The 15,380-nt window shown below is 36.8% G+C and overlaps 1 protein-coding gene across 3 annotated transcripts in view; it reads left to right on the top strand.

Annotated features, from left to right (window-relative positions):
* Positions 1–15,380, top strand: part of ABCA12 (ATP binding cassette subfamily A member 12) — a 207,085-nt gene that overhangs the window by 12,195 nt on the left and 179,510 nt on the right. For all 3 annotated transcript variants that reach the window (NR_103740.2, NM_173076.3, XM_011510951.3), the window contains exon 2: positions 14,742–14,835. Coding sequence is in view for 2 of the 3 variants with exons in the window: in NM_173076.3 (NP_775099.2) it covers positions 14,742–14,835 (94 nt within the window). In the remaining variant the exon portion in view is untranslated. The remainder of the gene's footprint in view (positions 1–14,741; positions 14,836–15,380) is intronic.

Raw genomic sequence — 15,380 nt, 5'->3', positions numbered from 1 at the left:
CCAGGACCAGACAGATTCACAGCAGAATTCTACCACAAATTCAAAGAAGAATTGGTACCAATCCTTTTGAAACTATTCCACAAGATAGAGAAAGAAGGAACCCCCACCCCCTAATTCATTCTATGAAGTCAGCATCATCTTAATACCAAAACCAGGAAAGGACAAGAGCAAAAAACAAAACTACAGACCAATATCCTTGATGAACATAGATGCTAAAATCCTTAACAAAATACTTGCTAACCGAATCCAGCAACATATCAGAAAGATAATTCACCATGATCAGGTGGGTTTCATACCAGGGATGCAGGGATGGTTTAACATATGCAAGTCAATAAATGTGATACACCACATAAACAGAATTAAAAACAAAAATCACATGATCATCTTAATAGATGCAGAAAAAACATTTGACAAAATCCAGTGTTCCTTTGTGATGAAAACTCATGGCAAAATCGGCATACAAGGGACATACCTTAATGTAATAAAAGCCATCTATGACAAACCCACAGCCAACATAATACTGAATGGGGAAAAGTTGAAAGCATTCCCTCTGAGAACTGGAACAAGACAAGGATGTCCACTCTCACCACGCCTCTTCAACTTAGTACTGGAAGTCCTAGCCAGAGCAATCAGGCAAGATAAATAAATAAAGGGCATCCAAACCAGTAAAGAGGAAGTCAAACTGTCACTGTTTGCTGATGATATGATTGTTTACCTTGAAAACCCTGAGGACTCCTCCAGAAAACTCCTAGAACTGATAAAATAATTCAGTGAAGTTTCCGGATACAAGATTAATGAAAAATCAGTAGCTCTTCTCTACACCAACAGCGACCAAACAGAGAACTAAATCAAGAGCTCAGCCCCTTTTACACTAGTTGTAAAAAAATAAAATACTTAGGAATATACCTAACAAAGGACTCGAAAGCCCTCTGCAAGGAAAACTAGGAAACACTGCTGAAATAAATCATAGACAATGAAAACAAATGGAAACACATCCCATGCTCATGGATGGGTAGAATAAATATTATGAAAATGACCATACTGCCAAAAGCAATCTACAAATTCAATGCAATACCCATCAAAATACCACCATCATTCTTCAGAGTTAGAAAAAGTAATTCTAAAATTCATATGGAACCAAAAAGCCCACATAGCCAAAGCAAGACTAAACAAAAAGAACAAATCTGGAGGCATCACACTACCTGATTTCAAGCTCTACTATAAGGCCATAGTCACCAAAACAGCATGGTAGTGGTATAAAAATAGGCACATAGACCAATGGAACAGAATAGAGAACCCAGAAATAAGCCCAAATACTTACAGCCAACTGATCTTCCACAAAGCAAACAAAATCATAAAGTGGGGAAAGGACACCCTTTTCAACAAATGGTGCTGGGATAATTGGCTAGCCACATGTAGGAGGATGAAACTGGAGCCTCATCTCACCTTATACAAAAATCAACTCAAGGTGGATTAAGGACTTAAACCGAAGACCTGAAACTATAAAAATTCTAGAAGATAACATTGGAAAAACCCTTCTAGACATTGGCTTAGGCAAGGATTTCATGACCAAGAACCCAAAAGCAAATGCAATAAAAACAAAGATAAATAGCTGGGACCTAATTAAATGAAACAGCTTTTGCACAGCAAAAGGAACAGTCAGCAGAATAAACAGACAACCCACAGAGTGGGAGAAAATCTTCACAATCTGTACATCTGACAAAGTACTAATATCCAGAATCTACAATGAACTCAAATTGATCAGCAAGAAAAAAACAAACAATCCCATCAAAAAGTGGGCTAAGGACATGAACAGAGAATTCTCAAAAGAAGATATACAAATGGCCAACAAACATATGAAAAAATGCTCAGCATTACTAATGATCAGGGAAATGCAAATCACAACCACAATGTGATACCGCTTCACTCCTGCAAGAATGGTCATAATCAAAAAAGAGTAGACATTGGCATGGATGAGGTGAACAGGGAACACTTCTACACTGTTGGTGGGAATGTAAACTAGTACAGCCACTATCAAAAATAGTGTGGAAATTCCTTAAAGAACTAAAACTAGAACTACAATTTGATCCAGCAATCCCACTACTGGATATCTACCCAGAGGAAAAGAAGTCATTATTCGAAAAGGTACTTGCACACACGTTTATAGAAGCACAATGCACATTCGAAAAGGTACTTGCACACATGTTTATAGCAGCACAATGCACAATTGCAAAATTGTGGAACCAACCCAAATGCCCATCAATCAACAAGTGGATTAAAAAACTGTGGAATATATATGTGATGGAATACTACGCAGCCATAAAAAGGAATGAATTAACAGCATTTGCAGTGACCTGGATAAGATTGGAGACTATTATTCTAAGTGAAGTAACTCAGGAATGAAAAACCAAACGTTGTATGTTCTCACTAATATGTGGGAGCTAAGTTCTGAGGACACAAAGGCATAAGAATGATGCAATGGACTTTTGAGGCTTAGGGGAAGAGTGAGAGGGGGGCGAGGGATAGAAGAGTACAAATGTGGTGCATTGTATACTGCTTGGGTGCTGGGTGCACCAAAATCTCACAAATCACCACTAAAGAACTTACTCATGTAACCAACTAATACCTGTACCCCAATAACTTATAAAAAAAATTAAAATAAAGATTAAAAAAGGAAAAAACAAGCCAAAAAATAACAGATGTTGGTGTGGATGCAGAGAAAAGAAAACATTCATACTCTGTTGATGAGAATGTAAATTAGTTCAGACTATGGAAAACAGTATGGAAATATCTCAAGAAATTGAAAATAAAACTACCATTTGAATCAGCAATCTCACTACTGTGTATCCACCCAAAGGACACATGCACTCATATGTTTATTGCAGCACTACTTACAATAGCAAAGTCATGGAAACAACCTAAGTGTCCGCCAACAGTTCATTGGATAAAGAAAATGTGGGACGCCAGGTGCAGTGGCTCACACCTGTAATCCCAGCACTGTGGGAGGCTGAGGCAGGCAGATCACCTGAGATCAGGAGTTTGAGACCAGCCTGGCCAACATGGTGAAACCCCATATCTACTAAAAATACAAAGTTAGCCAGGTGTGGTGGCGGACACCTATAATCCCAGCTACTTGGGAGGCTGAGGCAGTGAATCACTGGATCTAGGAGGTGGAGGTTGCAGTGAGCCGAGATTGCGCCACTGCACTCCAGCCTGAGCAGCAGAGCAAAACTCCATCTTAAAAAAGAGACAAAAAGAAAAAAAAGAAAATGTGGTATATAAGCACCATGGAATACTACACAGCCATAAAAAAGAATGAAATCATGTCCTTTGCAGCAACATGGATGGAGCTGGAGGCCATTATCCTAAGTGAACTAACATAGAAGCAGAAAATCACATATCATATGTTCTCACTTATAAGTGGAAACTAAACAAATGGTATACACAGGCACAAAGACAGAAAAAATACTCTGGGAATGCCATAGTAGGGAAGGGATGATGGGTGAGAAATTACCTACTGGATACAATGTACAATATTTTGGTGACGGGCACACTAGAAGCCTAGTCCTCACCATTACACATGTAATACCCATATAACCAACAAGCACATGTACCCCCAAATCGCAAATTTTTAAAAAAGAAGATGGTTCCTAAATAGGCACATCAAGGAGTGACTTCAAATTTCAACAGAGGTGGGATCTAATTCCAGCCTTCTGACCTAAAGAAGGGAAATTAACTTTAGTTGTTTATTTTCTGTGGTAACTGTTTCGCTACTGGATCACACTGTAGCTCAGTTGATGATAGAACTAGCTTTTCCACTCAGATGTTGTCACAACTTGCTAAAGGCTTACATTTTGGATCAAGCTTGACATACCCTCCTGCAATCCCCAACTTGCTCATATTACCACCTTTCACAGTGACTAGAGAAAGAGGAAAACTTTGCTTCAGAATTTAAGGACAAGTTTGTCTATGCATTAAAATATTTTTTAGAATAAAACAATTTAGGATTAAGCCCTAATTTCAAAATAATCCTAAATCAGATTGAAATAAACTGGGTCCTGCACAACTTACTCAACTATGTGATCAATGTTCCAGTTCCTTTTATCTCTTCTGAATTGGTATCATTTACTCCCTTAATCCCTTTTAATTGCTTGAAAATTTTAGTTCTACCTATTGATTATGGTGCCTGCCACATAGTAGACATGCAAATTTTATGAATGTAGTCAACCATTAAAAAGTAACTGAGGTGAAGAGGTTTCAGAAATGGGAGCAATAGAGGAGTTAATTGACTTAATGTCTGATAAAAATCCGTTGCTTCTGTAAACACCATAAAAAATTTACCAATCTTTAAATTTCAAATCTATAAGTACGGATTTCACAAAACTTTCTTGATTCCAGTTTTTAGATGAGTCATTTCTTTAGATGGCAGTGAGGCACACCAGTGTATTAGTCTGTCCTCATGCTGCTAATAAAGACATACCTGAAACTGGGTAATTTATAAAGCAAAAGAGGTTTAATGGACTCACAGTTTCACATGGCTGGGGAAGCCTCACATTCATGGTGGAAGGCAAAGAAGGAGCAAAGATACATCTTACATGGCAGCAGGCAAGAGCTTGTGCAGGGGAAGTCCCATTTATAAAACCATCAGATCTCATGAGACTTGTTCACTATCATGAGAACAGCACAGGAAAGACCCGCCCCCATGATTCAATTACCTCTTGCTGGTTTCCTTCCACAACACATGGGGATTATGGGAGCTACAATTCAACATGAGATTTGGGTGGGGACACAGCCAAATCATATCAACCAGAAAGACTAATTGAGAACTCCGAGCCATTTTTATTTCCTCACTGGGAAAGTAAGGTTCCTCATGGGAACTAAGGTTTATTCTGGGTCTTAGGTACCAAGCTCTTACTTCGCAATGTAAACCTTGGAATCCTCTTGTTACCATCAAATAACCGTCATTCTTGTCTTATAGGACAATGCTAAAGGAAATAAATAAAAAAGGAAAAAAGAGAGAGTGTACTTTATATATGGAAGTTTGAGCAATTTTTATTTTCAAGTTTGCAATAAAAAGTTCTAGGTTACAGAAAGTCCTTTAAATGACTTTCAATGCTCTCATAGAATCAATTAATAAAAGTATAGTATTCAAATCAAAGACAGCCAGTAATCCATTTTGTAGTGCGTTAGCTCTATAATTTAGTGATTAACTCTGCTAGTGTAGCCAGACTCCCTGGGTTCAAACACCAGCTCTACTGCTTAGTGGCTTCTGGAAGAAAAGCTTATTTAGTCACTTTAAGATCCTGTCTTCCCATCTGCAAGAGGAAGGGAGGTTATTATGTTAAAAGTGATAACGCATGTTGTGTTTAGCAGAGCATGTTACACAATCTAAGCAGTCAATATATATTAGCTATTATCATTTGGAGTATTGTATTGAATGCTGACATTAATTATAAGAAGACCACTTGACAACAAGAATTCATCCTGGGGAACATATTTTTTAACAGTACTTAACAGAATTGTTAAAGTTGCCTAGGGGAAGAAGGGATTTTGTCTCTCTTCAAATATTCATAGAATTCTCATGTGGAAGAAGTGGCCAAACTTAGACAAATAGGCAGTAGTTACGGGAAGAAAGATTTCACCTTAATATAAGCAAAAATATCAGACAGTATGAGTTGTCCAATGATGAAGAGTTTCATAGTAAACTTCTTGTCACTAGAAGCATTCAAATAGAGGTTGGATAACCATATGGCAGATATATTTTCCCTAAGTCTCAACGTACCAGTCATTCTGGACTTATTTCTGTTCCTGGACTATCCCCTTCTCTTCCCCATCTGTGGATCTTCACACATATGCTGCTTCTGCTCTACAGACTCCCACTTCTTTCTTACGCTCCATCCAACACATATTTATTTCTTCTGTTTGACCCTTTTTCATCCTTCGTGTTTTAGACTCAGCTTTCTTTATCTTTCTCTTGCATTCTTTACTTCCTATGTCATATTATCCATTCCAACTAGCTGTAATTATTTTTTTCAAATTTTATTTTAGATATGGGAAGTATATGTGCAGGATTGTTAGATGAGTATATTGCATCCAAGTGGTGAGCATAGTACCAAATAGGTAGTTTTTCAACCCATGTCTCCATCCCTCCCTCTTCCCTCTAGTACTCTGCAGAGTCTGTTGTTCCCATGTGTGTGTCCATAAGCGCTCAATGTTTAACTCTCACTTATAAGTGAGAACAGAGAGTATTTAGTTTTCTGTTCTTACATTAATTTGCTAAGGATTATGGCTTCTAGCTCCATCCATGTTGTTGCAAAGGACATGATTACATGATTTCATTCTTTTTCATGGCTATGTAATATTCCATGGTGTATATGTACCACATTTTCTTTATCCAATTCACCATTGATGGACACATAGGTTGATTTCCTGTCTTTGCTATTGTGAGTAGCATGGTGAGTGTATGTATCTTTTTGGTATAATGATCTTTTTTCCTCTGGTTATACGCCCAGTAAAGGGATTGCAGGGTTAAATGGTAGCTTTGTTTTAAGTTTTTTTGAGAAATCTCCAAACTGCTTTCCACAGTGGTTGAACTAACTTATACTCCCATCAACAGTAGATAAGTGTTCCCTATTCTCTGAAGCCTTGCCAGCATCTGTTTTTTTTTGTTTTGTTTTCATTTTTTTTTTTTTTTTTTACTTTTTAATGATGGCCATTCTGACTCATGTGAGGCCAAAACAGCATGGCACTGGTCCAAAAACAGGTGCATATAACAATGGAACAGAATTGGAAACAGAGAAATAAAGCGACATACTCACAACCAACTGATCTTTGACAAGGCTCACAAAACCAAGCAATGGGGGATAGGACTCCCTATTCAATAAGAGGTGCTGGGATAACTGACCAGCCATATGCAGAAGAATAAAACTGGACCCGTACCTTTCCCCATATATAAAAATTAACTCAAGATGGATTAGAGACTTAACTGTAAGACCTCAAACTCTAAAAATCCTAAAAGAAAATCTAGGAAGTACCCTTCTCAACATTGGCCTTGGCAAATCATTTTTGGCTAAGTCCCCAAAAGCAATTGTAACAAAACTAAAAATTAATAAATGGGACCTAATTAAGTTAAAGAGCTTCTACCCAGCAAAAGAAATCATCAGCAGGGAGTAGTGGCTCATGCCTGTAATCCCAGTACTTTGGGAGGCCAAGGCTGGCAGATCACCTGAGGTCAAGAGTTCAAGACCAGCCTGGTCAACATGGTGAAACCCTGTCTCTACTAAAAATACAAAACTTAGCCAGGCGTGGTGGCACATGCCTGTAATCCCAGCTACTTGGGAGGCTGAGGCAGGAGACTTGCTTGAACCTGGAAGGTGGAGGTTGCAGTGAGCCGAGATCGTACCACTCTACCCTGGGCAACAGAGTGAGAATCGGTCTCAAAAATAAAATAATAATTATCAATAGAGGAAACAGATAACCTAAAGAATGGGAGAAAATATTCTCAAACTATGCATGTAACAGAGGTCTAATATCCAGAATCTATAAGAAACTTAAATCAACAGCAAAAAACAAATAATCCCATTTAAAAAACGGGCAAAAGACATGAACAGACACTTCTCAAAAGATGACATACAAGAGGCCAACAAACATATAAGAATGCTCATCCTCACTAATCATAGAGAAATGCAAATTAGCTGTAATTATTTTTTTGTTTCCCTTTCTCAAAAGACTGAAAACTTACATTGCTGTATCCCCACTGTCTGGTACATAGTAGGTGCTCAACAATTTTTTTTTTGTATTTATGTATAAATCTTAAATAAATGATTACTGTTTTATATATGTTTATATTTATACTCTAAATTTCCTTAAAACTCTCCAAAACTATGACACTATGAAGGGGAATGAAAACTCTTCATCTTAGCCTTTTGTTTTTGTTTTTGGAGTGAGGCAAAAGAAATCCTATTGAAATATAGAAATTGTATTGATATTCAGTATCATATCATTCTTTTTTTATTAATTAATTTTTTTTTGAGACGGAGTCTCACTCTGTCACCCAGGCTGGCATGCAGTGGCAAGATCTCGGCTCGCTGCAACCTCCATCTCTTGGGTTCAAATGATTCTTCTGCCTCAGCCTCCTCAGTAGCTGAGACTAAAAGCGTGTGCCACCATGCTCGGCTAATTTTTGTATTTTTAGTAGAGACGGGTTTTCACCATGTTGGCCAGGCTGGTCTCAAACTCCTGACCTCAAGCAATCTGCCCGCCTCGGCCTCCCAAAGTGCTGGGATTACAGGCATTAGCCACCATGCCCTGTTGGGTATCATTTATTTTTGACATAACCAGCCTCAGGCTACTCTAGTATAAAGGCACAGACTCAAATGTCTGTAGGGGCAAAATATATAATGTGATAGGTAAAGTACACCATGCACTTCATTAAAAAGTGGGGAATGGTGACATCTGTGATGAACTAGAGAGTACTTTCCCTATTTAAAGGCATTCACATTTCATCGAAAACAATAACAAAACTGTGTGAAAGAAACAAAACACCTCCATGAGTCTGATGTGATCTTTCTACCACCAGTCTGTTACCTCTGCTCTAGGATAATAAGATGTAGTAATTAAATTCACAGAGTCTCCAAACAGTAGTTCAGTTTCATATAATTTAAAAATATATAGTTAGACTTGTTTACTTAAAATTCACCTGTATCTTATTTTCTTTACTGTTTAGTGAAAATGGTAAGAAAATAACAATGGTAGACAAAAATAGCATCAGATAGACTAGCATTAATTAGAATAAAGGGTTCTGACAACGTAATAAAGTAGTGATGACCTAAAGTTGAAATTATATGCTTTGCCCAAATTTTTTAGAACATCGGGTTTTTGAAATTTGTAAATACTTGAAATAATAGTTCTTAGCAGGTGCAGAGGAAAATATTACTAGATAATTCAATTTTGTTAATAGATACTGCAGATTAGCTTTAAATGAAAATTTTGCATTGAATTTACATTTGATTAATTCAAGGAATTGCTTAAGATTTAAACTTGTAATTTTGAGTTGATGACTTAGTGACTACAAGGTCACTGAAATGTGCCCTGGCATTATCATTAATTCTCCAAACCTCAACACTTGCATGCAACAGGATAGAATTTCTTGATGTGAAGCTTGTCTTTATCTCTTTTTCTGTTTCTTCATCTCTTGCACTCTTTTAAAAATTAGTCTAGATTTTCAAAAAGGAATGCAGAAATCTTTTAAATAATTTCTAAACTTTTTATTTTAAAACAAATTTACAGAAATGTTGCAAGAACAGCACAAATAACTTCTTTTCTAGAACAATTTGAAATTGGTGCTCCATTACCCCCAGATACTTTAATGTACATTTTCTACAAGTAAACATAGCTCAATACCACCATCAAATCCTTAGACTCAAGGTTCACCAGTTGTTGGAACTGTGGCCTTTATATAGCAAAAGGATCCAGTTTAGAATTACCTGCTGCATCTAGTTTTCATGGCTCTTGTCTCCTTTAATGTGTAACAGTTTCTCAATTTTTCCTTGACTTTCATGACCCTGACGCTTTTGAACCTTCATGACCAATTGTCTTGTAAAGTATCAGTTGTTTCTTTATTTTTTGAGTCAGGTTATTATTCATCTTTGGCAAGAATGTCACAGAAATTATGCTTTTTTCCGTTTCATCACATTAGGTTGTGCATGATGACATTTTGTCCCATTTTATAGAGAAATATTTTGTAGGTACATACTCCATTCCTCATTAAGCTTTCAATTTATTTATGTTTACCTATGTGTTTGTTTCCATCAGCATAGATTCATGGATTCCTAGTTTATTTAATTAAATATATTTTATTTTCAAATATATTTTAATGTTTAAATACAGCCACAGGCTGGTATCTGTATTCTTGGATGTGTCCTCATCATTCATTGCCAATCCCTTTGCAGTAAATCCATCACCCTTCTATCAATCTATCTACCTACCTATCTATATCAATCAAGCAAGCAAGCTATATAACTATCTATCCTTTTGTATCATCTGTCTCTTTCTTTATCTTCTACATATCATCTTTAGCTATGTCGAGTATTGAAAATATTGAGACCCCACTAGCAATGATCACACCTAGAACTCAGTTGTCTACTAAAAGAAGCTAGCATTTTTTTTGGAAAAATAGGTGTTTTCAGGAATTGGACAAAGAAGGTACACAATGAGGCAGAAACAAATTGTGGAACCAGAAAGTAAAAAATAAATAATACACATACGCATTTTTATCTGCATTTTATGCCTCTTTATACATTTGGGAATTAGGAGTTTATGCCCATTTTGCTCATTCTAACCTAACACTACCAAGATCATTCTAGTTTCCTTCTTTTCCAATTGTTATAATTACCTTGAAGGACAGTGAGAAGCCTGACTCCCCTAATGGGGGATATTTCTACTTTTATCATCAACCTGCTCTTATGAAATCGGTCGCCTGCCACTGCCTCTGTCCTGTCTCCCTGCACTGACACCTTCTTCACCCCACTTGGTCTCTGACATCCCACATCTCACTGCCTCAGTGCCCATGTCCTCTTCACCCTTCTAAGGCCCCACTTCCCTCACTGGGTAGCTGTGGCTCCTCAAGTACTAGCACGTACACTTACCTTGCTAGGACCTACCTACGGACTTTTGGATTGAATTTTTCAGGAAAAGAAGAAGAAAAAGAGAACAGAATGGTACATCTCAGTAGAAAATAAATCCTGGAGAAATAAAAGGACACGAATGCCCTGGCCCACTAAGGAATCATAAACTATTTAGTGTGCACATACCCTTTGATGCCAAGAGTATAGGGGGGTGGAATGCCAAGGAGATGTAGAGACAGTGTGAAATAATTACACTCTAAGCAAAAATACTAAACCTTTAAACACTGCTTTCCTCAAACATCTCCAGTAGCTCCTGTGTCTATATGTGTAAAATTAATATATCATCCCTTTCTCCAAACAGAAAAAAGTCATGGCCTATTGGTTTAGAGTTTGAATCCTTGACACCGCATTTGCTTCTAGGTTGCTTATGAACATATTTAGAATGGTGTTGTGAGCAACACTGCTGCTATGAAAATTTAAATTTTATTTATTTCTTGCTTTTGTGATTAACCTGTCAACCTTAATATTCGTGAGACCATAGTGTAGAGGGCTTTGTATTTATTTTCCCCGTAAAATGCAGTATGCAGAAATGTTCTCTAAATCTCTCTCTGACCTGAAATCCCAGGGAAACCTTGTAATAATAGATTCGTTTATAGGCTGGCTGTGGTTTTTGCCTTCAAGAGTCTAAAATGCCTTAAACGTCTCTGGTATAGATTGCATTTTTGTCTGGATTCAAAATATGTTTAAAATTAATTTTAAAACTCACCAAAACATCCTCATGAAATCATCAAATTAGATCAAGCAAAAGGCAACCATACATACCATACAATATATGCCCCTTATCTGAATGTGGATATGTTGTTATCGTTGATCTCGGTCACTGAATTCTCATGAAGTTGCCATAGAAAATGAATAGAAGTTCCTAAAAGTAGCTATGGGGCATTAAGTCTACTCAGATGAATACTTTCATAACTATGACCTCAAATACAAAACTGATAAATCCACAAACATTAATTTTTTAACCTTAATTCTTTCTAGTCTACATTTCAAATGAGAAACATAAAATAAAGACGATACCTTGTATTCAGGATCTTTAAAGAACAAGCTCCAATTTTGAAATAAATCAGAGATGAGGCTAGAATAATAACACGTCTTACATTTCTGTAGCACTCATATTTTTGCAATACACTTTCTGTAATGCTTTCTTATTTGCTGCTCGGAACAGCACAATAATTATAAAAAAAAGAATCCTGGCCTCCTATGTATCTTGGGATTCAGATCCTTGTCTCCTGCTCTGCCTCACAATTGGATATATGACTTTGGACAAGTTATGCTAACTTTCTGCACCCAGAGAATACAAAAAAGAGTTAGATCAGATTACAGGACCTTAGGATGGCTTTGGCAGTTTGGTCAAACCTACAGCTCCTTTAAGAATAATGTTTTAAAATTCATCATGTAAAATAAAATAAAAAGGATTATAAATAAAGCCAATTATATTGAAATTCAGTTATCAAAGTATTAAGAAAGCAAATTTGGCCGGGTGCGGTGACTAACGCCTGTAATCTCAGCACTTTGGGAGGCCAAGGTGGGCAGATTATGAGGTCAAGAGATCAAGACCATCCTGGCCTACATGGTGAGACCCCGTCTCTACTAAAAATACAAAAATTAGCTGGGCATGGTGGCATGTGCCTGTAGTCCCAGCTACTCTGGAGGCTGAGGCAGGAGAATTGCTTGAACCTAGGAGGCGGAGGTTGCAGTGAGCCGAGGTTGCACCACTGCACTCCAGCCTGGCGACAGAGCAAGACTCCATCTCAAAGAAAAAAAAGCAAGTTTATGATATGGTAATATGTGTGTCTCTTTATTGTAGTATTAAATAAAAGGTCTAGTGGTGAATTCATAACTAATTTTAAGTAGTAATGAGTATAAACAGCGCTTTAAGATATCTGCAACAACTCTAATGTGATTTTTAAATATCCATAATTTCTATTAGTGACAAAGTCACAGGTTCTTCTAATAACACTGTGGTTCATTGCCTATATTCATCATTAATGGAAATACTAAATGTTAATAACAAGCTAGAGAAAATAAAAATATAATCTTTTTTTCTCCCATTCAAATTTACAAATGCCTTGAATTCTATTCATTAGGTGATCCCAAAGAAATTTTCCAACAAAAATATTCCAGGACTTTGTAAACACTCCTGTTAGATAGGTAGGGTGGCATACATCTAGATCCACTCTCCTCAAAGTGCAGTCCATGGACCAGCTGCATCAGCATCACTTACCTGGGAGCTTCTTAGAAATGCAGAATCTCAGCCCCCACCTCAGATCTACTGAACCATAATCTGTATGTTTACAAGATCCCAAACTGATCTGGAAGTCCACACTAGTGTTTGAGAAGTGCTGTTTTAGATTAAGTTGTTCAGTCTTTATGGGTGCTTTTCAAGCTATGTTCAAACCGAGTGCCTCAGGATTCCTTGGATCTATAGTGAACTTTGTGAACTTCCATTTTTGAAAACTTACCATTATACCCAACGTCTAAGAAGTTGGTGACAGGCCTACCAGCAAGGAGAGCAGCACTCTTGGACACAAAATGGAGATTTTAGTAGCAAATGTAGATTAGGAGTTATTTAAGGATCAGTAATTCATGGGGTTTGGATTGCTTTGGTGAATTGAAGAGCTCCAGGTAGATAGCTTGAGATTTGGCTGAAGCAAATTGTCTCTGAAAAGTGGGAGAGAAAAGATAAGTCTGACCAGAAAACTATACAGTTCCAAGTTTCACTTTATTAAGTATAGGCAAAATTTGTCCCTGTGGTTTGGTTTTAGCACCATAACTATTTGCATATCACAGTTAATGTTCTTGTGAATATGTTTTTCATGGTTCTGGAGCCAATTATATAGGTCTATAAAATATTAAGCAGTTAGTGTTTTTCAAACTGAATCACTTCTACACGGGGAGGAAAAGCAGCTCCTAAAGTACTTAAAGTGAAATTCTCTAATGAAAATTTCAGGCCGGGCACGGTGGCTCACACGCCTGTAATCCCAGCACTTTGGGAGGCTGAGGCAGGTGGATCACAAGGTCAGGAGTTCAAGACCAGCCTAGCCAAGATGGTGGAACCTCATCTCTACTAAAAATACAAAAATTAGCCAGGCGTGGTGGCGGGTGCCTGTAATCCTAGCTACTCGGGAGACTGAGGCAGAGGATTGTTTGAACCTGGGAGGCAGAGGTTGCAGCAAGCCAAGATCACACCACTGTGATCCAGCCTGGGTGACAGAGCAAGACTCTGTCTCAAAAAAAAACAAAAAAAAACAAAAAAAAAACAAAAAAAACCCAAAGAAATTTCAATGCAGTATGTGTTTTTGAGCATCTATTTTTCATCGAGTGGTGGAAATTTAGGTATCAATAAGACACTGCCCCTACCATAAATGAACGTCCAGTTTATTTGGGAACTGGGCAAAAAAAAAAAAAAAAAATCATTGACTATAACGGTGTAAGTTCTATGATAGAAGTAGACACACAAGACATTAAGTAGTATATGGGACTGCATGGGACTTGAAGTTCCTTTTTACTTCTTCACTCATTGACTCAATTATTTCTTTTTTGGTTCATTCTTAAGTTCATTTTTTCAACAATATTTATGGGTCATGACCCACTTCACACACCAGTCTTTATGACTGAGCATAGAATGCTGACATTGAAAGGGCTAAAATAGGCATAGGTTGAAATTATTTTGGGTTTTGTATGGCCTGTTTAGAACATTGTGTCTTATCCAATAGGGAAGTGGGAAACTCTAAAGGATTTTTAAGGAATGAAGTAACCAATCAGGGTTAATTTTAATATAATGATGATTGGGGCAGTCATGAGAGGTGATCCAAAATAAATCTTCAGAAGGTTATTTCATGGTTTTAAGCCTGGAAAAATCATTCTTCTGTGCATTTACAGGTCTTTTACATATTAAAAAAATCTCTCATTCACTTTTTATTAATAATATCTACAGTTGGTCAAATATTCAGCTTGTGTTGAAATATTATAGTATGACATACTTTTTGTAGTCAGGTTTTAAAAATCTTTGGTTCAACAATAAAACTAACAATTTTTTCTACCATTATTTTGCAGCTTTGGACACTTGTCTTGATCTTATGGCCAGTCATTATTTTCATAATTTTGGCTATTACTCGGACCAAATTTCCTCCAACTGCAAAACCAACTTGTAAGTAAATGACATTTGTTTATTTCCTTAATTTTTGGATTCTAGTTAAAATTTATTTTGGTACCACTTTAGTGTTTCATTTCAAAAATTTTTTTTTGTATAGTGTTTTCACTTGGAAGGATTAATATGAACAATTTGTGTGTTTTTTACCCTAGATTTTCAAGTTAGTCAGAAAGTTGAGTTTGTAATATTTATCTAGAAAAATATGAAGCTTGTAGAAGCCAGAAAATATTTTAGCCTTTATAAAATTTTGACTCATTTATTATTCATTTCATAAATCTTGCCATGATATGCACAGCACAAACAAGCAGCAATCTCTTGCTATATCATTCTTTACTTTTGTAATGGAAACCATAGTCTTGTATTTGATCAACTGAACAAATGAAAATCCAGAGTAGTATACAAATCCCTTCTCTCTCTTTAGGGCTGATATTTGAGTGGTGTAAATGTGTCAACACATTTAGTTCAAGAGAAGATTGTTATCTAATTAGCGCTCTTTCAGTTACATTTAGTAATTGTCAAGTTGTAAAATGGGCAGAATGCCC

Source organism: Homo sapiens, chromosome 2 (genome assembly GCF_000001405.40).
Source record: "Homo sapiens chromosome 2, GRCh38.p14 Primary Assembly".
In the NCBI taxonomy this organism is placed as follows: domain Eukaryota; kingdom Metazoa; phylum Chordata; class Mammalia; order Primates; family Hominidae; genus Homo; species Homo sapiens.
The sequence above is the reverse complement of the archived record's forward strand: the minus strand, read 5'-3'. Positions and strand labels throughout refer to the sequence as shown.